The sequence below is a fragment of the Homo sapiens genome, chromosome 11 (genome assembly GCF_000001405.40).
Source record: "Homo sapiens chromosome 11, GRCh38.p14 Primary Assembly".
In the NCBI taxonomy this organism is placed as follows: domain Eukaryota; kingdom Metazoa; phylum Chordata; class Mammalia; order Primates; family Hominidae; genus Homo; species Homo sapiens.
In genome coordinates this window covers 128,978,917-129,001,852 of record NC_000011.10, presented here as the reverse complement: position 1 = coordinate 129,001,852, position 22,936 = coordinate 128,978,917, and the positions used below count along the sequence as shown (strand labels likewise).

The window sequence follows — 22,936 nt, the reverse complement described above, 5'->3', positions numbered from 1 at the left end:
ATAGTGCTGGGAAAACTGGATATCCATGTGCAGAAGAATGAAACTAGACCCCTCTTTCTCACCTTATATAAAAATTAAGTCCAAATGGATTGAAGACTTAAATCTAAGACCTCAAACTATAAAACTACTAAAAAAAAATGGGAAAAATCTCCAGGACAATTAGAGGGGGCAAAGATTTGTTGAGTAACACCAGACGAGCATGGGCAACCAAGGCAAAAATGGACAGTGGGATCACATCAAGTTTAAAAGCTTCTGCACAGCAAAAGAAACAATCAGTAAAGTGAAAAGACAACCCACAGAATGGGAGAAAATATTTGCAAACTACCCATCTGACAAAGGATGAATAACTGGAATATATAAGTAGCTCATACAACTCAAAGGAAAATAATAATTTGATTAACAAATGGGCAAAAGATCCAAATAGCCATTTCTTAAAAGAAGGCATACAAATGGCAAGTAGGTGTATAAAAGATACTGAACATCATTGATCATCAGAGAAATGCAAATTAAAACTACAATGAGATGTTACCTCACTCTAGTTAAAATGGCTTTTATCCAAAAGACAGGCAGTAACAAATGTGGAGAAAAGGGAACCCTTTTACACTGTTGGTGGGAATGTAAATTAGTACAGCCACTATAGAGAATAGTTTGAGGGTCCTCAAAAAACTAAAAATAGAACTACTATACAATACAGCAGTCCTACTGCTGGGTATATACCCAAAAGAAAGGAAATTCGTATATAGAAGAGATATCTGCACTCCCATGTTTGTTGTATCCCTGCTCACAATAGCCAAGATTTGTAAGCAGCCTAAGTGTTCATCAGCAGATGAATGGATAAAGAAAATGTGGTACATATACACAATGGGGTAGTATTCAGCCATAAAAAAATAATGAGATTCAGTCATTTGCAACAACATGGATGGAACTGGACACCATTATATTAAGTGAAATAAGCCAAGCACAGAAAGATAAACTTTGTACATTCTCACTTATTTGTGGGATCTGAAAATCCAAACAGTTGAAATCATGGAGACAGAGAGTAGAAGGATGGTTACCAGAGGCCAGAAAGGGTAATAAGCCAATGGTGGGGGGGTGGGGAATAGGGATGGTTAATGGGTACAAAAAATAGAAAGAATGAGTAAGACCTAGCATTTGATAGCACAACAGGCTGACTACAGTCAAAAATAATTTAAACGTACATTAAAAAATAACTAAAATACTATAATTGGACTTTTTGCAACACAAAGGATAAATGCTTGATGGGATGGATACCCCATTTACCCTGGTGTGATTATTACACATTGCATGCTTGTATCAAAATACGTACCCATAAATATATATACCTACTGTGTACCCATGAAAATTTTTTTAAATGTATAGTAGGCTTCAGTAAGACTCTCAGTAATCATCTGCAAACTTAGTAGGGGGATTTAGGCCATCTGGCTTAGTCTTCTATCTAACAGCTAATCTTTGAGCTCATGATATTGTTGTATGTTGACTTTTAGCATAATTATCCCTATAAGCTGCACTTCTCAGCAAAAGTCATTTTTAAGGGATTTACTTTCAGTTTTTTTAGTTGTCTTTCTAATGTATCAGTCGGTGGAATTATTTTTTCAAATATTAATTTACTCACCTTTTTCCTTGATCTATAAAGGATTTAAGATGATGTACTTAGTATATTATAGACGAATGTTAATGGACTATCTGATGCTTGTGTGGGTGTGTGTTTTGTATTTATATAGCCATTAGGTTGACAAGTGTGTTCTGTGTCATTATGGGATTGTCCTCTTTGCAAAATGAGAAAGAGTTTTCTTTTTTCAGTTATATTCAACAGATTACAAGTGCTACGAAAATTTCTAACCATCAAGTAAAATAATTTAAAAATTGACAAGAAATGCAAACCGCTTTTACACCATTTTAAGTCTTACTTATTATAAAGATCTCCAAAGTAATATATTACAGTAAAACTCAGGTTCCTCTTATAATCCTGTAACATCCTTAAGTATGCATTGGGAAGATGACTGGTTTACCAAGCTTGATTCAAACGTCATGGGTTACAACATTTAAATTTGCTGACAGTCTCATAAGGTAAGGTGGTGAGAAGATATCGGGGGAACCAGCCCCCAGTATTTTAATGTAGGTTCTTTTCTATTTTCCCAAAGTGTCGGCTGGTCTAAGAAATAAAGGTAAAGAGTACAAAAGAGACAAATTTTAAAGCTGGGTGTCTGGGGGAGACATCACATGTCGGCAGGTTCCGTGATGCTCCCTGAGCTGCAAAACCAGCAAGTTTTTATTAGCAATTTTCAAAGGGGAGGGTGTTTACGAATAGGGTGTGGGTCACAGAGATCACATGCTTCACAAGGCAATAAAACATCACAAGGCAAATGGGGGCAGAGCGAGATCACAGGACCAGGGCGAAATTAGAATTGCTGATAAAATTTCATGTCCCGCTGTGCATGCATTGTCATTGATAAACATTTTAACAGGAAACAGGGTTCAAGAGCAGGGAACCGGTCTGACTAAAATTTACTAGGCAGGAATTTCCTAATCCTAGTAAGCCTGGGGGCACCGCAGGAGACCAGGGCGTATTTCATCCCTTATCTACAACTGCATAAGACAGACACTCCCAGAGCGGCCATGTTAGAGACCTCCCCCTGGGAATGCATTCTCTTTCCCAGGGCTGTTCCTTGCTGAGAAAAAGAATTCAGCGATATTTCTCCTATTCGCTTTTGCAAGAAGAGAAATATGACTCTGTTCTGCCCGGCCCCACAGGCAGTCAGGCCTTATGGTTATCTCCCTTGTTCCCTGAAAATTGCAGTTATCCTGTTCTTTTTGGATGCCCAGATTTCATATTGTTCATACACACATGTTTTACAAACAATTTGTGCAGTTAACACAATCATCACAGGGTCCTGAGGTGACATACATCCTCAGTTTACAAAGATGATGGGATTAAGAGATTAAAGACAGGCATAGGAAACCACAAGAGTATTGATTGGGGAAGTGATAAATGTCCACGAAATCTTCACAATTTACGTTCAGAGATTGCAGTAAAGACAGGCATAAGAAATTATAAAAGTATTAATTTGGGGAACTAATAAATGCCCATGAAATCTTCACAATTTATGTTCTTCTGCCATGGCTTCAGCCAGTCCCTCCATTCAAGGTCCCTGACTTCCTGCAACAAAAAGAAAGTACAAAATTATGATGTTATTTATAACACAACTCTTAGCTTAAACTTGTACTGACATTTTCCTAAAGATTATAAAGTATATTCATAATAGATTATTTTGCTGTCAGCCTCTTGAGATATGTTTGTTTTTATGCTAAGTAAAATGTAACCTCTTGCCACAACTAAGATCTTTTCTCTTTATTGATTTTTAGTGTCTAAAAAGCACGGCAAGCTCATTACGTTCTTACGAACATTCATGAAGTCTCGTCCAACAAAACAGAAGCTGAAGCAGCGGGGAATCTTGAAAGAGAGGGTGTTTGGTTGTGACCTGGGGGAACACCTTCTAAATTCTGGTTTTGAAGGTAAAAATAAAATGTGCAAGCTTATACTCTGAGTTTCTGACCTCTCCATATTGGTTTGCTATAACCAATTATGGAGTAGATTTAGTCAAATGATACCTGTTTCATTTCAGTTCAATGCATGTACTAAGCTTTCTCAGGTACTCAGTTCTGGATGGAGCTGAGAATGAAAAGTCTAAGAATGCACTTTGGCATTAGAGATGTTCGTGTTCTATTCGGGAAGAGTAGGACATTCACACAAAATATATTACAACCACCCTGTTATTTTGCCTGAGTTTCTATTTCTCCCTAGATAGCTTCTTCAGCCAGTTTTGCCACCCACATTTTATCCTAAAATATTTATCTAATTCTTCTTATGGAAAAAAAACTGTCAGAGTTTTGAGACATAAAATGCCAAAATCAATCTTCCAATTTTTTTTGTTTTTAAAGAGACAGGGCCTTGATTTGTTGCCCACGCTGGAGTGCAGTGGCGTGATCATAGCCGACTGCAGCCTTGAATTCCTGGGCTCAGGCAGTCCTCCCAGAGTACTGGGACTACAGGCATGTGCCACCACACCTGGCTAATTTTTATTTTTCATTTTACTTTTGTAGAGAATCTGTATTTTATTTTTTATAGGAATCTATATTCCTTTCTTTATAAATTAAATTATGAATCAAGAATTTAGTTGTTGGATGGGGGGATGGATAGGAGGGAAAGAAAAAAAGGAGTTTTCCTTTTATATTTAAAAATAGCACTTTCCTCTAGCATCTCTTTCAGAAATGCCAGAAGATGAAGGCAGGATCTACCTGTGATGTTGCTAAGTACCAGAAATAGGTGATTATGAAATTCCAAATTAGTATGGGAAATACCCATTGTGCCTTTTGAGAAGACCATTAGTGAAAAACAATGGTAAAGTAATAATAATAATACTGAGTTGATAGTATCAAGTTCAAATTAAGGTCTTGCTCATTGTTTAAAGAATATCAGTGGACTTAGGAATTTAATGCAAACTGTACCATGTTTCTTGAGAGAGTAGACAAAATGTTATTTCAAACAGATGTTATTCCCAAATTAATACCAACTTAATGCAGATCCCTAAAAAAACAAAAACAAAAAAAACCCCTGAGGATTACTTTTGCAACTAAATGCACATGGAAAACTCAACCAGTGAGAATGTCAAAGAAAAAAATCAGTAATAGGATGGGAGACATCTAGTTTTACTATATATTAAAACAATATTCAAAACTAGAAAAGCAGAGTTTTCACTGGGTGCAGTAGCTCACGTCTGCAATCCCAGCACTTTGGGAGTCTGAGGCAGGCAGATAGCTTGCGCCTAGGAGTTCGAGATCAGCCTACACAACATGGCAAGACCTGGTCTCTACGAAAAATACAGAAATTAGCCAGCATAGTAGTACGCACCTGTAATCCCAGTTACTTGAGAGGCCAAGGTGGGAGAATCATCTGAGCTTGGGAGGTGGGGGTCGGTAAGCTGATTTCACGCCACTGCACTCCAGCCTGGGCGACGGAGCAAGACCTTGTCTCCAAAAAAAAAAAATTTTCTTTTTAAAGGCAGAGTTTTGTGCTGAGAATGAAATGTGAGTGAAACAGCTTACAGTGTTCAGAAATAGTTCTTACTGTACATAAGAATCCATTGTGAGAAAAAAGTATGGTTTTAGAACCATGTCACATGGAAGAGCTATTTATAATACATACTGAGATAATTAAATAGCAGTTTTGAAAAAAATTCACACTTCATCATACTGAATATAAACTTCAAATGTATAAGTTAACCATTTTAAACTTACAAAATTGCCAATGTGAATTGATTTTGTTTTGAGATAAAATAAATAATAGCTTTCTCAGATTTAAACAAAAAACATGAAGAGATGACTTAAATATATATATACTTTTCATATAATGAAAAATAACAGTGTAGAGGGAGAGGTACCATAGACAAGGAAATATAATCATTTTTTGGATATGATGAAATGCTGCTATTACAGTGTATGAGAATATCATTTCAGACTTTTTAGAAAATTAAAGTAATTTTAATTACTGAGTAAAAGAATGGAGAATAGATACAAACATTAAACTGTCACAGGGCTATAAATAATAAACAAAATACAGAAAAATGTTTATCCTTATTTGTAATCATGGAAATGTATCTTTAGGCGATTTTGAAATACCATTTTACTTTGGTAAATATTAAAATAACAAAGCTATTTTTCTAAATTATGATATCCAGTGCCATAAATATAGTAGTGATTTTTACCAATAGGTTCAGAATCGTTGGTTTCAGAAGGTTCTGAGTTAGCACTACCTTTTTGGAAAACATTTGACATTTCATAGCAAGACACTTTATAGTGTTCCTTTCATCTAATGAATCCATCCTTAGGGACTTATCTTAATGTTATAATTAAATAGAAATAAAAGTGTTCATCATAGCATAATGTATGAGAACAAAGAAAACGAAATACCCAACTTTGGGAGAATGTTCTTTTTTGAGATGGGGTTTCACTCTGTCATCCAGGCTGGAGTGCAGTGGCCCAATCGCAGCTCACTGCAACCTCTGCCTCCTGGGCTCAAGCTGTCCTCCTGCCTCAGCTTCCTGAATAGCTGGGACTATAGGCATGCACCACCACACCCAGCTAATTTTTGTATTTTTTGTAGAGGTGGGATTTTGCCATGTTGGCCAGGCTGATCTCGAACTCCTGGACTCAAGCAATCCACCCACCTTGGCCTCCCAAAGTGCTGGGATTACAGGCGTGAGCCACCACACCCATACAGGGGAATGTTCTATAAATGTTGAAGCTGTTAAAAATTTTAAGTTTGAGCTGTGTGAGATGGCTTATGCTTGTAATCCTAGTATTTTGGGAGGCCAAGGTAGGAGGATCGCTGGAGGCCAGGAGTTTACACCAGCCTGGGCAGCATATAGCAAAACCCCATTTATACAGAAAAAAATACAAAACGAGCTGGGCATGGTGGCACACACCCATACTTCTAGCTAGTTTGGAGGCTGAGGTCGGGGGATTGCTGGACCCCAGGAGTTGGAGACTACAGTAAGCTATCATCTTGCCACTGCATTCCAGCCTGGGCAACAAGGCAAAACCCTGTCTCTAAATAAATAAATAAAATAAGTTTGAATACAGTGTAGGAACCTGAAAAATATTATCTATAAATGGTAGATACAACTTTTGAAAGTCTGGATACTTAGGTGATATGAGAAATGAATATAATTAAAGTATTAGAGAATATTGTTGAGATTTTTTTTTCTTAGTTGTCTTGCTTTTTCAATTAAAAAAATTAGAGGAATATTAGAAATGAATTTAATAATCCTGGAAGATTAATCCCTCTTTGCCAAGTTAAACTCAAATGACTAGAAAAAAAATTAACTTGTGACCTTAAAGTGTAATTGAAATTCAGTAAACTTTAGGAGCTAGAAACCTCAAAGACCAAGGCCAGATATATTATACTTGGCATATTAAAATAATTTCCTGTTTCATCAGGGTTGGTAAGAAATGAATAAATATTCATAAGAAGGATATTCATTTGAACATTCAAATGAAGCCTAAATTAGCAGGAGAAGGGAAACCTTTGAAGTTTATTAACTAAAAATTAGGAAATAAAATGGTTTTTTAATAGCTGAGTGATTTAGTAGTTTGTCTTTGATTTAATGAATATGTGAGGAATTTCAGTTTTTTCAGATTTTAAGACTTCATAGGGGGCTGGGTGTGGTGGCTCATGCCTGTAATCTTAGCTCTTTGGGAAGCCTAGAAGGGAAGAGCACCTGAGCCTAGGGGTTTGAGACCAGCCTGGGCAACATGGCACGTTTAACACCATGTAACATGTTAAACCTTGCTTAGATGTGATCATTAATATGAAAGAGAGGCCCAGCAGGGTGGCTCATGCCTGTAATCCCAGCACTTTGGGAGGCCGAGACAGGTGGATCACCTGAGGTCAGGAGTTCAAGACCAGCCTGCCCAATATGGTGAAACCCTGTCTCTACTAAAAATACAAAAAGTGGCCGGGTGTGGTGGTGCATGCCTGTAATCCTAGCTACTCAGGAGGCTGAGGCAGGAGAATTGCTTGAACCTGGGAGCTGGAGGTTGCAGTGAGCCAAGATCATGCTATTGCACTCCAGTCTGGGCAACAAGAGCGAGACTCCATCTCAAAAAAAAAAGAAAAAAAAATGAAAGAGAGTTTTCCAATTTGTCCTGCCATGCTCATTAGCTTTCAAATATCAATTCAATTTTAGTTGTACTTAGAAGTTTCAGTTATGTTTCCATTCTTCATAAGGATGATAGGGGAGGACAGAGGCTATTATATCACTTCTTTCTGAAAAATAGCAGGTTAAACTACAGTGTTCATCTGTTCCCTAATTATGATAAAATCTATTTGAGTGGAACAGAGTTTTTTGGTATCATTGATTTTTTGTCATTGATTTTTTTGTAGGGACAGTGTCTCTACAAAAAATTTTAAAAAATTAGCTGGGCATGGTGGCACGTGCATGTGGTTCCAGCTCCTTGAGAGGTTGAGGTGGGAGGATCTCATGAGCCCAGGAGGTCCAGGATACAGTGAGCCATGATCACACCATAGCACTCCAGCCTAGGCAACAGAATGAGACCCTATCTCCAAAAAAAAAAAAGACTTCATATGTATTGTCCATGACCTATAACCACAGTTATATCATATGTGTGTATATATTTACACATACAAATATATATAGAGACTATTTTAAAGTCTAAATTAAAACAATGAGAATTGATTATATATTTTAAACTCTAAAATAATTAGAATAAAATGAAGAAAAAATGATTATATATTATATACATAATTGTGAGGAGAGATGAGACACATACAGTATATATAATATTGATATATATCATATATAATTGTTCTTTCTCAAAGTTTAGACTTTAATATAGTGTCTTTACCCTAAATAAAATTAACCTTGCACTAGATTTTTCTGAGAAGGAAGCTCGTATCAAAATTACGTTTTATGTGCTTGCTTCGACAGCACATATACTAAAATTTGAACAATACAGAGATAAGTGTGACCCCTGCACAAAAATGACACACAAATTCGTGAAGCATTCCATATAAAATAAAAATTTTTTTTAAATTTTGTTTTGCTAAATGGTTAATTCTCTGAATATTTCCTAGTGAAAAATCAGCTTTATAGGGAGATTATCTTATTATACTTTCTAAACTTCTGAGTACCTCTCTGTTGGAGCAAGTGACAAACTTGACCTGTGTCTTCTGTACAAAGTGTTGTAAGAAATCACATAGGAGCCTGACAAGGCAGTTGTCTTTTTATTCTTTTATGTGTGGTCCCTGCTGTTCAATCAGGATTATCATAGAGTTTTAGCTATCACAAACCGGTGTTTATAATTGAGTGTATTAAACATTATATCACAGTTATTTGTAGAACTGATTGTTTAAAAATCTGCCCACAAAAGAAGTAAATAAAAATCTGCCCACATAGTACTTTTTTTGAGCATAGATTATACTGATTTGTCATTTACTTTGGCATCCTTTTGTTTTGTTTTGTTTTGATACGGAGTTTTGCTCTTGTTGCCCAGGCTGGAGTGTAATGGCACAATCTCGGCTCACTGCAACCTCCACCTCCCAGGTTCAAGCAATTCTCCTGCCTCAGCCTCCTGAGTAGCTGGGATTACAGGCGCCCACCACCATGCCTGGCTAATTTTTTTTTTTCCTGTATTTTTTGGTAGAGACAGGGTTTCACCATATTGGCCAGGCTGGTCTTGAACTCCTGACCTCAGGTGATCTACCTGTCTCAGCCTCCCAAAGTGCTGGGATTGCAGGCATGAGCCACTGCCCGCAGCCTACTTTGGCATCCTTATCTATAGCTTTAAAATGTTGTGTTGTTGTTGGTGGTGGTGGTGGTGGTGGTGATGTGACGTTAATTTCTTTTTCTGGTATCATTGATTTTTTTCATAAGAGTTAGTATTTTTTTTTGGTGTACATATTTAAAACTGAATTTCATTAAAAGTTTGAATTGAGATCACTAAAACAAAATAGTGAGAGTTTTATAGAAAACTAGGTAAAATTATGTTTGGTACAAAATATTACAAATATTTTGAAACCCTCGGAGAGGACTCTCTGTTGCCTGAACATATTTCTGTGTTGTATGATATGCACAAAACTTTAAATGAGAGCACAGTAGGAAAAAGCAAGGCCCAGATAACACCAGAAATTAATCCTTTTGGTAGTCATATTAGGTAGAATCATGATGCACATTCTAATAAGTCACACTGTACTCATGTCCCTTTAGCCTGGAAACCATCTCCCTGAAACTGGAACTCAGCTTTTTCGTCTGTATCTGTAATGCTTTCATGATGCCTGGAAAATAGAAGAGACTTAATAAATACATGATTGATGAGTGAGTGAGCGAGTGAATGAATGAAGAGAAAAGAGCAGAAACGAAACCAAAACTGTCAAGAAAAAAAAATCAAAGATCAATTCTTGTCATACTTACTTCCTACTTCTTTTAGCCATATTCTAATCTAAAGGATCATCGATTTTAATTTAAATATGTACTTCTTATTCTGTTGTCGTATGATGATATTTTAAAAACTAAGAATGTAAAATCAAAGTAAATCAGAAGTGTATTATGTGGAGAATGTGGGAATGATTCTGAAAGTCATACCGTCTTTTGGAGGAAGCATTTTGGAGGTTTCTAATGTTATATTTTGACTGGGTCATTATTCGCTGTGCATTTGGCTGGTTTGTTAGATGGTTTGGGGGTAGCTAGTAAATAGCCTTTTTTTAAAACTAGGATTTTTTTTACAAAATATATTGGATTTCTTATATTGCTTTCCTACTCTTTCGTGAAAAAATAAAACAGATCTTTTCTTCTTTTTTCTTCTGACATTGTTTTTCAGTTTTTGCTCCTTTTCTTCAAGATTCAAGTTTATGCTTTTCTTTCATTTTGCCACCTATTTGTATTAAATGACTCATTTGTTTCCCTTAAACTTATAAGTAATAGTTATGTAATTTTATTTATTAAGCTCATTATGTGATTTTTGTGTAGACATTCAGTCCTTCTACTCAGGGAACACAAAATATAAGAAAACGATTCAGATGCTTGCCATGAAGTATTACGTGTGTAGAGACTTGGACATATTATCAGGAAAAGACCTCTAATTCTCCATATTTTCAATGTTTTCCTACTTATTTGGAAGAATAAACAGATATGAATCTAATAACACACAGATATACACATCCAATGAAAATTACCGATACTTTTTTTTATAAATGGTAGCTTATTTTTATGAAAAATTTATGTGTGCTCGGAGAGCCTGATAATATGGAAATAAAATACTGTGCTCTGAAGGGTTTTTCTTGAAGACAAACCTTTTGTGTACCTGGGTGAATCAGCATGCTCATTTGGAGCATATATAATGAGAAGCATCTTCTCAGTGCTTTACAGGAAAGAATTTTAACTATTTTCCTAAGTAATGATGTTAATTATCCCAGTAATCTCTAAATACATTCCCTTTGAAGCAGAAGACTGAAATTTTGTAGCCCCAAATTTTATTATTCCACTTCCAGTTTTTAGAATTGAAACCTAAGACACCAAGTTTATCATTGGTGGGACAATGTGAGAAATAGAACCCAAGCTTTTATAAAGATGCTATGTATTTTGCATATCATTTCGACACAGAGGTTGCTTCTAATATCAATTAAATCCACAAGAAGTACCCAGCAATTCTACCTGCCCTTCATCTTTACTACATAACCATAACCTTTTCTTGTTACTGAAAGTCTTGAATATTTTTAGAGGTAGAAAGCATGTAGTTGAAAATGTATTCATATGAAAACTAAGGTTCCTTCCCTGCTAACTTGACCAGATAATGACCATTTCAGGCTCTCAGGGCACTGGTAAATTAATTCACTTGCTAATTTTATACATTGTGTCAGGACGGTGTTCCTGAGTTTTAAATATACAAAGATGGACGATGCATGGTTTTGCTCTTGAAGAGCCCACAGTCAGAAAAGGGTAATAGTTGTATGAACAAATAAATGATAATTTTGAAATATTTTTCTATGAGCACATAGAACACAGTGCTCAGCCACCTCTACTTGTGGGTATTCAATGAAGGCTCGCTAAAGAGTGATAGTTTACCTGGATTTTGAACAATAGCCAAGAATTTTTTCTATACGAAGAGCGTTATGGGAGAGAGTCCAGCTAGAGGAAATTGTTTTGTGAAGAAGTCATAGCATGGTTGGTTTGTATGGCAAAAGGTAACACTTCACTTGGCCTAGGGTTGTGGAATATGGAAATACAATAATAATTAAATGTAAATTATGAAAGGCCTTCTCTGCCAGGCAGTATATTGCAGTAGTCAAAAGCATTGGCTCTGACTGGATAAAGAAAAATGTGGCACATATATACCATGGAATACTATGCAGCCATAAAAAAGGATGAGTTCATGTCCTTTGCAGGGACATGGATGAAGTTGGAAGCCATCATTCTCAGCAAACTATCACAAGAACAGAAAACCAAACACCACATGTTCTCACTCATAAGTGGGAGTTGAACAATGAGAACACATGGAATAGGGAGGGGAACATCACACACCAGGGCCTCTCGGGGGGTTGGGGGGCTAGGGGAGGGATAACATTAGGAGAAATACTCAATGTAGATGATGGGTTGATGGGTGCAGCAAACCACCATGGCATGTGTATACTTACGTAACAAAACTGCACATTCTGCACATGTACCCCAGAACTTAAAGTATAATAAAAAAAGATATATGTATGTGTGTGTGTGTGTGTGTGTGTGTGTGTGTGTGTGTGTGAAATAAAAAACAAAACAAAAGCATTGGCTCTGTACTTGGACTGCCTGAGTTGGAATCTCTCACTTCTGCCAGTGTTTCCTGCCTGCCCTTGGGTAAAACTTACTCTCTCTAAGATACAATTTCTTCTCTGTAAAAATTGGGAATATATAGTACTTTCCTTGTAGGATATCTCTGAAAATCAGAGAGTATGCATTGTAAAGTACTTAGCCTGGCATATATTTAGTACTTAATACTATCAGCTGCTGGTTTTTGTTTTTTGATTTTTTTAATCAAAGATGAGGTTAAGTTTTAAATGTTGTTATAGGATCTGACAGAATTTAAAGATGGATTGCATGAAGGACAATAAAAGTCAGGAAAACCAAGGAAAAGTTGGTTATAATAATAAAGGAATGACAATATACTGTTAATGAAATACATTCACTAAAATTATCTTATTAAAATGCCTTATTTGTTTCATTTGCCACTCTGAATGTTTCATCTCTAGTATAGTAGCTCTTTGCAGACCAAATTTTCCAAGCATTTCTTTTCAAGGATTTTAATTAACCCTATCAAATGATCATACTAAAGTCTGTAAACTCATCAATCTGCATTGCAAAACAACTATTGTTAAATTCTCAGCTGCTGTAAATGTTTGAATGGTTATAAAATGCTTTATCATATATTTTGAAAATTCTGTTTTATACTGCATGCCCCAGCATAGCTGTCCAGTGTATATTCATAGAGCTAACCAGAGAGAGTGCCCTGTATTACAAGCTGATAATATAAAGTCAAAATGTCAATAAAGTTAATGTAAATATGGCCAGGAAATTACAAGATTCCATCTGTTTGAAATTGCCTTGGGCTTTGCATTATATTGGTGTTTTGTTGATTGAATAAAGTCAGAATTTGCATTAACTATGAAAATATAGAAGATCCTTTTCTAGAAGCAAAACTTTGTAGCACTTACAAGTAATTATGTTGTTGGGACAAGCATTTAACTTTATATATTCATTTGCTATATATGAAAGTCAGCTGAACAGCTGTATTTCTTAAAAATCTGGCATGGTGTTAGGACTAAACAGTTCACTTTGCTGTAATGTGTAACTGTAACATGATCTAAATGAGTCTACTGCAGAAGAAAGACTGTCCTAATAATGTATGAACTCTCTTACTCACTTAAATATCATGACATAGAACCAGTCTTGATTATTCAGGAATTAGTTATCTAATTTAGGTGGGCAATTAAATAAATATACCCTCATCATTTTTTGTAGTGGATTAATTTTTGCTCCTTTTAACTTTAATTTACAAATTTTATTTTACTTTTGTAAACTAAGACAATCTTATTTTTTGGCAACTTTGGTTCCAGTGAATACTACAATTTCATCTGTTTCTTTACAAATTCTCTTTAGTGCCGCAGGTTCTTCAAAGCTGCACAGCATTCATTGAGAGATATGGCATCGTGGATGGAATCTATCGCCTTTCTGGTGTTGCCTCCAATATCCAGAGACTACGGTAAAATCTTATATGGCACTTTTTCACTCCTTCTTAACTAATTAAAATGCAAATATTTTAAAACAGATTCACTTACTTTGATAACCTATTTTCATTAAAGATAATTTAGATAAAATAGGAAATAATATACATGTTATTGTCTCTGTATACTTTTCTAAATGGCATTTTTTTCATCTGTAGTATCAGAGAACCATGCACCTTAATCTCTTCAGTACTTGTATTTTGCCTCTTTATAGTGTTTGAAGATTTTAACAAATTGAGTTTGAACCGATGACAGCCATGAGAGAGGAAATTTGCATTATAATAAAATTATTCTTTAGGTGTTAATTAAAATGGATGGGAATGGAACATTTTCTAATCTCCTTTGACCCTGATTCTGTGTTTATGTTCAAGTATGCATCTCTACATATTTCACATCCTCCCCAAATCTTCTCTGAGACAAAAACAGTGACAAACTCTGTGCCTGCAATATTTTATTTTTGCTTAATCTCTTGGATTCTAGACTATTCTTGACATGCCATTACCCTTTCTTTTTTACTGTAGTACATGATAACTGCCATTATTCTGTAGAGATTTTAATACTTTAACAGATCATAGAGCCCATCTCAGTTTTGGGAAATACATGCTTGAAAAATACATAAATTAGTCCTTGTACTAAAGACAGTTTCAGTCTTCAGTTTAAGACAAAGTAAATCTCATATTGTACACACACATTAATCCTCTAGGTAGATGATAAGTGGTCTCATGCCCGTGGATGAATATTAATTAACCTCCTGGAGAGTGAGCTTACTCTGCCTTACTATTCTGCGTACAACTTTTATTTTACTCATTCTAATGATACAGATTTTCCTGCCTATTAAAATTTGTTGTTAGCTAGGAATTGCTTTATGTTGTTTCTGACTTTTTTATCCTGCTTCGGGAAAGCATTTCTGTGTTGTACAATCTGTATCTGAGGAATTTCTGCTCATAATTGTTCATAGATCAATTGCCATTCAACACTAGTCTCTGGAATTGCCAAAATATTGGATATTCAAGTCATTAGCAATTAGGAGTCCTGTTTTCAGACTGTTGTACTATAAGAGCTGTTCATTCATATGTATCTCAGAGGCTATTGTCCATTTTAATATTAAAGCTGTGCCCTTAATTTCCACATAGAAAGACATCTATCTTGTACTAAGACATCCAGTTGTTGCTGAAGTCCAAACACAACTTAAATGAAATATAATTAATGGAAGATAATAGCAACTCACTGAGATAGAGCTGAACACTTTTGGAGCTTATGCTTTCTGTTTTTAAGACACATATTTGCTCTCCTCAATCAAATGATTTGCTTGTCCTCTTCTGTCTACGTCAGCCATGAATTTGACTCTGAGCACGTCCCCGACCTGACGAAAGAACCGTATGTTCAGGACATCCATTCTGTGGGTTCCCTATGTAAGCTGTACTTCCGGGAACTCCCAAACCCTCTGCTTACCTACCAGCTGTATGAGAAATTTTCTGTGAGTACAGGCTACTTTTGAATCTAATTCTTTGTGGAACTTTGCTGTGCTTTTGTTCAAAACACATGAACTTTGGTTTGGTCACATGTAAGAAATAGTTCTGTGACTGAAATGACTCCTTAAAAAAACAAATATTGCCAGCTAGTCGGTGGTCTTTGCTGTTTTCACATTGTCATTCTTGTGCTTTCTGACTTTGAGCTGCTAGTCTTGTCACACTTAATACTGATGACCATCAAGCCTTTTTAAAATTAGTTTCGTAGATCTCAGTGTTCACACTGTGTGGAAACAGTTTACTTCCTGAATACAATGTTGTGTTTCCTCGCCATTTCACATCCAAGAGCAAAGCAAGTTGATCTCAGAGTGAAAACTGAATTGTAAGTGAACTTTCATTTTTACTAACAGAGCTCACTAGTTTATTTTGTACTGTGACTCTTCTAGGATGCAGTTTCAGCAGCAACAGATGAAGAAAGGCTGATAAAAATCCACGATGTCATCCAGCAGCTCCCCCCACCACACTACAGGTCAGCCACAGTGGGTAAATACCAGGCAGAGGTAGAAGTCGGTTGACCTGTAAACGTTTTTTTTTCCTTTGGATTTCTATTTAAACTTCCTTGGAGTTCTAATTAAACTTCCATTTCATATATATATATATATATATATATATACACACACACACACACACACACACACACGCACACACACACACACTATATGTATGTGTACCTATATGTATATGTATATGTTTATGTATAGATATTCATTTGTCCTTAGATCCCCAGGGCCTGGCACACTGTTTAGCATTCCATAGGTACTTAAAGGTTGAATGAATGAATGGATGGACAAAGGGATGGCTGACTAAACTTGGGGGTTTTTTGTTTGTTTGTTTTAGTTTCTTCTTTGGTTTTATTGTTGTTGCTACATTTTAAAACCTAATTTGATTTGTGTGTTAGTTTGGAGTGTTGGAAATATTTATGGTTATGTCTGAGAAAGCCAGAATAAAATTGAAAGTTACTTTGCCAGTTAGAAAAAGACAACAGTAGAAACTAGATTCCAGTATGCAAAGAAACAAAAGATACATTTTAAAATTCCAATTACTGACAAGAAATTAAACTCAGCGGATGTTCTAGTAATATGCAAATTAAGTAATTTAATTTTTTTTTTCAAAATGACATTGCTTATGTATATATTTCAAAAATCAGCACTATAGGCCAGGCGCCATGGCTTACACCTGTAATCCCAGCACTTTGGGAGGCCGAGGTGGGTGGATCACCTGAGGTGAGGAGTTTGAGACCAGCCTGGCCAACATGGCAAAACCCCGTCTCTACTAAAACTACAAAATTAGCCGGGCATGGTAGCACGCGCCTATAATCCCAGCTACTCGGGGGCTGAGGCAGGAGAATCACTTGAACTTGGGAGGTGGAGGTTGCAGTGAGCCGAGATCATGCCACTGCACCCCAGCTGGACAACAAAGCGAGACTCCATTTAAAAAAAAATTCTAATTGTGGTTTCTGTTTAATGTTTATCACCTTTGCACCATCATAAACGTCAAAAAATCATAAATTGAACCATTGTAAGTTGGAGACTATCTGTATACAATCTTTCTAAAACATAAGGTACTTGAGGTCATGAATTCTGTCTTGTTTATCACTGTATTTCCAGAATAGAGTCTTGCAGATAGATGTTCAATAATATACACTGCATATATGTTTTATATCTTCTGCACACTATTTTATAGCTTGACTATAGATACTTATATGTATATATATCCTAATATTATCCACTTTGCCTGTCTTCTAATATATATTATATTACTTACCATGTATGCCCTACCTGGATTTCATACCTTGCCTGCTATTAATATGTACATGTATATCTCCTGCTTTATAATGTATACAATATCTTGTGTAACTCTTTTCTTCACTATAACTTATATGTGTGTGTATCTCCTACTTTGTATATCTTTTGATATAGACTTTTTATCCAAAATTTTAACATTAACATTTCTGAATTCCTTAGATGTTCTTGAAAAGCGTAATTTTCCATCATGTTCTCTCATTTGGATATGCCATGTTATTTAACCTTTCATAATTTGCATATTTAATCTACATATATGGTGGTATGGGGTGTTTTCTATTTCCTTTTTTTTTTTGAGGCAGGGTCTCACTCTGTTACCCAGGCTGGAGTGCAGTGGCACAATCTTGGCTCCCTGCAGCCTCTGCCTCCCAGGCTCAAGTGATTCTCCCACCTCAGCCCCCCAAGTAGCTGAGACCACTGGCACACACCACCATGCCCAGCTAATTTTTTGTATTTTTGGTAGAGTTGGGGTTTTGCCATGTTGCCTAGGCTGGTCTCAAACTCCTGAGCTCAGGTGATCCACCCACCTCAGCATCCCAAAGTGCTGGGATTACAGGTGTGAGCCACTGTGCCCGGCCTTCCTTTTCCAATTTTGAATATTACTATGAGGGCCATCCTTTTACATGGTATCTAGATTATGTTTTTTATTACAGGATAATGACCTGGCAGTGAAATTCTGGAAATCTAAATTATTATTCTCAATATTAGACAATAATATCCAAATTACGTTCCAGGTTGCGAAGTTTTATACAATTCACACTCTCATCTGCTGAATATAAAAGTGCTCATTTTGTGGAATCCTGACTAAAATTCTACATTAACTTTTAAAGACATCCTTATAATCAGATAGGCAAACCAAATAGATGTCTTTGGTTTTTTAAATTTGCAATTCTCATAAAATACATTCCTGAAGTCCTTTAATCATTCCCTTCATTCACCTTCCTCAAGTAATAAAATTTTACATGGTTTTCTTTTTTTTTTGGCTGAGGAGCCTGGCTTTATTCTATTTTATTTATTTATTTTTTTATTATACTTTAAGTTTTAGGGTACATGTGCACAATATGCAGGTTTGTTACATATGTATACATGTGCCATGTTGGTGTGCTGCACCCATTAACTCGTCATTTACATTAGGTATATCTCCTAATGCTATCCCTCCCCCTTCCCCCCACCCCACAACAGGCCCCGGTGTGTGATGTTCCCCTTCTTGTGTCCATGTGATCTCATTGTTCAATTCCCACCTATGAGTGAGAACATGCGGTGTTTGGTTTTTTGTCCTTGCGATCTAAATACGTTTCTCAAGCTTCTCACCTCTATGTCATACCCAGGCCAGCCTCACTTCGGTTTGTCTTCTCTTAATTATATACAGCAGAGACAGAGAATTACCATTTTAACTGTAAAGCAACTACAATGCCCTTGAACGCGCAGGCACTTTGGAGCCACTCTGACCTTGATTTGAAATGCAGCACTGCCACTGCTAGTCTGTGGAACCCCAGCAACCTTGACTTTGTCCTCGGTACAAGGGGAATGGTAATTCTGTGCTTGTTAGAGCTATTATGAGAATTAAATGAGACTGCTGGTAAAAGCCTCTTGAACAATGCCTAATGCCGAGTCTAACTATGATATTCCTTTTCCTCTCAAATTCATGTTAGGCCCATCTGAATCTTTGTGGCTCGGATGTAGACCACATTTTATCTTTCATTACTGTTTCATATAATACAGCCTTATATTTCTGTCTCCCATTCATTGTCCTTTTTTTTTTTTTTTTTTTTTTTTTTAAAGACAAGGTCTCACTCTGTCACCCAGGCTGGAGTGCAGTGGCATGATCACAGCTCACTGCAGCCTCAACCTTCCTGGGCTGAAGCAATCCTCCTGCCTCAGCCTCCCGAGTAGCTGGCACTACAGGCATGCACCACCACACCCAGCTAATTGTTTTTACACTTTTTGTAGAGATGGGGTTTCACTGTGTTGCCCAGGCTGGTCTTGAACTCTCGAGTTCAAGTGATCTGCCTGCCTCAGCCTCCCAGACTGCTGAGATTACAGGCAATAGCCATCACACCCAGCCCGTTGTCTTTAGTAGTTTTACTCTGGGCACTATTAGGTAGGACGCTTTGAGACATGCTAGGTGATAGATAATACCTCTGTGTGTGCATGCGCACAGACACACACACACACACACACACACACACACACACGGCACTTACCTGGTTTAACTTACATTTAAGGTGATCATGTCTTGTTTTCAAAAGTACTCTTCCCTATTGTTTAATCACAATATATGTGGAATTGTTTAAGTAAAGCAAATTTTAAGTAGTCAAGATAAACCAGAATATGAGGATTTGAATTAGGCTCTTTATTTCAAAAGCATATCCTTTGCTCAAATATTCTCCCCTTGATGCCTATTGGAATTTTTCTTGTAACTGTTTTAAGGCTTTTGAGACATTACTGTTTTCTTTCATAGAAGTGTTGAAATCCTTTCCTGTTAGTATGTCTGCTGCAAGTAGAATGGCATAACTTCAAAATATTATTTGTTCCAGAAACTAGCTTTGGTGGAAGATTCACTTCTAATAGTAATATTTCAACCTGTTAAGCAGGAAAAAAAAGTTCTCTTGGGTTTGTATGGTCCCTTTCTTCATTTTGCTATTGCAAACTTAGGAATTAATTAGCAGGCTTTTATGTTCTATACTGCTGCATCATGTTTCTTTCTGTTAATATGTTGTATTTTATTTCCAGAACACTGGAGTTCCTGATGAGACACTTGTCTCTTCTAGCTGACTATTGTTCCATCACAAATATGCATGCAAAAAATCTAGCAATTGTTTGGGCTCCAAACCTGTTAAGGTAATTTGCATTTCACTTATTAATTTTAGTAGAACTAATCCTAAATAAAAGGCTGATTCATCAGTGTTCTTTAAGGAAACTTTTAAAAGATTAAACAAATCTGTTCTTTTTATTTGCATCTCCCTAAAACAGGCAACTGGGCCTTAGCTAAGGGACAGTAAAAGTATGATTTCTTCCTCTGTTTGTCTGAGATTTACACGTTTAAAAAAAGAGGCCCTTGACGACTGCTATCTTTACAACTCTGTGATGAAAATGTTTACCTCACAGATCAAAACAGATAGAATCTGCCTGCTTCAGTGGAACAGCAGCTTTCATGGAAGTGAGGATTCAGTCTGTGGTTGTTGAGTTCATCCTGAATCACGTTGATGTGCTGTTCAGCGGCAGAATCAGCATGGCCATGCAAGAGGGGGCAGGTACGGCTCCGATGGCCCTTCCTACCAGGAGGGTGTGTCTCAGCTTCCAGAGGAGTAGCAAACCATGCATTTCTTATTGCAACAACAAAAACGTGTCACTGGTATAAGGCAGCTAATAATGTATGGCTGCTTACCAAAATGCACAATTTGACAGTTATTTTGTGTGTATATAGTGAATACTACATATGAGACCTATTGTGATCTAAGTTCATGACACATTAAAAAACTTGTCGTTCATTATTGATGTGTATTAAAGTATAAAGTGGAACAGAAGAAGAAAAATTGCTTCCAAAACTAAAAATATCTGAGTGATTGATCACCTTTCCTCATATCTTTTAAGAAAGGAAAACAGTTATTAAAGAGTTTTATATGTGTGTATGTGTGCCACTGGTGTATCCCCTTCAGTTTTTTATTTAATATAAAGCTTTTCTCATATCTTTTAAGAAAGGAAAACAGTTATTAAAGGGTTTTATATGTATGTATGTGTGCCACTGGTATGTCCCCTTCAGTTTTTCATTTAATATAAAGCACTATGGTTTTTGCTATTTAACATACTTGAAGAAAATTTGAAACAACAGATAGGTAGATAGATGGAGAGATAGATACTAACAAATTGAATACACTCACGTAGTTGACTCTCTTCATCAGCTTCCTTTTCTTTTTGAAGCTTCTCTATCAAGGCCCAAGTCCCTCCTGGTATCCTCTCCATCCACCAAACTGCTGACATTGGAAGAGGCCCAGGCACGAACACAAGCTCAGGTCAATTCTCCAATTGTGACGGAAAATAAATATATCGAAGTAGGAGAAGGACCTGCTGCACTTCAGGGGAAATTTCATACCATAATTGAGTTCCCACTTGAAAGGTAAAATTTGTTAAATCCTATTTTGGGATATGATTTTCATAGCTATGTCCTATTATTTTCTTTTAGTTTGCTTTTAATTTTGTATTTTAGTATTACTCTATTGAATTCTAGGCTAGTCCCAGAGAAACCTGTTTATTCGAATATGGATGATACTTACCGCTTCATGGGGAATGATGCAAATGATTCTTGCTTTACAATGTCATGTAATTTTATAAAAGAAGAACATCAGTGGTATAGGGAAAATTGTTTGGAAAAATAAGGATATACTGTCACTATATGGGTTGATTTTGCTCTCTGAACTATGTTGTTTATAAAGTTGTTTAGAAATAAGCTGTGTTGGAAGAGTTTGTTCAGAAAGTCAGGAATGGACAGTGACTTGTTTGACATTGGTTTCACATTAAGGTTAGAAGAGATTAATAGTGTGGTCTCCCAGCCAACAGCATCAGCATCACCTGGTGATAATTGCTAGAAGTGCACATTGTGCAGTCGTCCAGTCACACCCCAGACCCGCTGAATCAGAAACCCTGGGCGTGGGACCCAGCAACTGGTCATTCATCTAACTTTCCAGGTGATTCTGATGTCTGCTAGGACTTGAGAACCACTGCAGCAGTTCACTCTTTCAATGTCCCTTCCAGCTCTGAAATTCTATTACTCTAAAGAAATGATAATAACATGGTTTCTGTATCTTCTTTACTAGGTTATAGTAGGAAGACTAATGTATGTAAAAGTTATTTTTGATGTCTCTGCTACTCCTTTGGCTATTACACATGAATGTAAGGATTTTGATTCTCTGGATTGGGTAGTACTAATATAACTTTAGAATTTGTTCTTCCCGTATTTTAGTATACTCCTCTAACTTCCTTTCACTTCCTGTGACTAAAAACATTCTATCAGCAAAAAGTTGGAACATACTCTTACTTTGTCATCCTGAGTTTGTCTTTAGCATCTTGATTTTATATTCTAGTTCCATAATTTACTCAAAGATTTATTTATGGAGTAGTAGTTAAGAGAGTAGATACTGGGATGTAGATTGGCCTGGGTTCCAATTCTGACTCCATCATTTAATAGTTTTATAATGTTAAAGAAGTTATTTGAACTTCTTAGTGTCATAATTTCCTTGGCTGCAAAATGAGAATAATAGTACTTACCTCATGTGGTTGTATCTGATTTAAAGGAGATATTACATATAAGGCAGGTAGCACAGTGCCTGGCATTCAGTATATGTTTGTTATTATTCTTAATCCTTGTCTTCTTTGTTTGCCTTTATTCTCTACTCACACCTAAAATCATTTTCTTTAACTCTGTGTTATTTTTGGACACTTAATATTTCCTATTCCCAGATACGTCTTATTTTCACTTATTTTTCAGTTTGTGAGGTTGGATCCAAATATGAAGATATATATAAAAATGATCTTTGTGAAAATATTTACTAGTACTAAAATCTGCATGTTTACTATCCATTTTCTGCTTTGGCTGCACTGTGTAGAGTGTGCTGTCTGGAAGGTGGATGTTTGCTTACTGTTTCACTTATGCTTCTCCAGCCTGTTTGGTTCTTTCTGTCATGTGTTCATTTCTTTTCTGTAAGAAAAGACAGACCCATGGCTATCTTAATGTTGATTATTTTTTCTCTTTCATA

General features: G+C 36.2%; 1 protein-coding gene and 1 pseudogene across 15 annotated transcripts in view, besides 1 other annotated feature; both read left to right on the top strand.

The window, feature by feature from the left end:
- ARHGAP32 (Rho GTPase activating protein 32) overlaps window positions 1-22,936 on the top strand; it is a 314,573-nt gene that overhangs the window by 277,780 nt on the left and 13,857 nt on the right. For 14 of the 15 annotated variants that reach the window (XM_047427929.1, XM_047427927.1, NM_001378025.1 and 11 more), the window contains 7 exons: window positions 3,385-3,534; window positions 13,728-13,830; window positions 15,185-15,329; window positions 15,768-15,850; window positions 19,917-20,024; window positions 20,292-20,437; window positions 21,105-21,300. In XM_047427929.1, the coding sequence (XP_047283885.1) occupies window positions 3,385-3,534; window positions 13,728-13,830; window positions 15,185-15,329; window positions 15,768-15,850; window positions 19,917-20,024; window positions 20,292-20,437; window positions 21,105-21,300 (931 nt within the window). Of the gene's footprint in view, window positions 1-3,384; window positions 3,535-13,727; window positions 13,831-15,184; window positions 15,330-15,767; window positions 15,851-19,916; window positions 20,025-20,291; window positions 20,438-21,104; window positions 21,301-21,997; window positions 22,931-22,936 lie in introns of those variants that run through there. The other variant, XM_017018597.3, reaches the window with a different exon arrangement.
- Window positions 1,951-3,150: an enhancer, noted in NCBI's record as "BRD4-independent group 4 enhancer chr11:128868598-128869797 (GRCh37/hg19 assembly coordinates)". NCBI's record gives its function as "activates an origin of replication core promoter dependent on BRD2, P300/CBP, MED14 and CDK7 cofactors, and independent of BRD4, by STARR-seq in HCT116 cells {active_cell/tissue: HCT116}" and the evidence as "EXISTENCE:reporter gene assay evidence [ECO:0000049][PMID:35650434]".
- RNU6-876P (RNA, U6 small nuclear 876, pseudogene) lies at window positions 8,513-8,616 on the top strand (annotated as a pseudogene).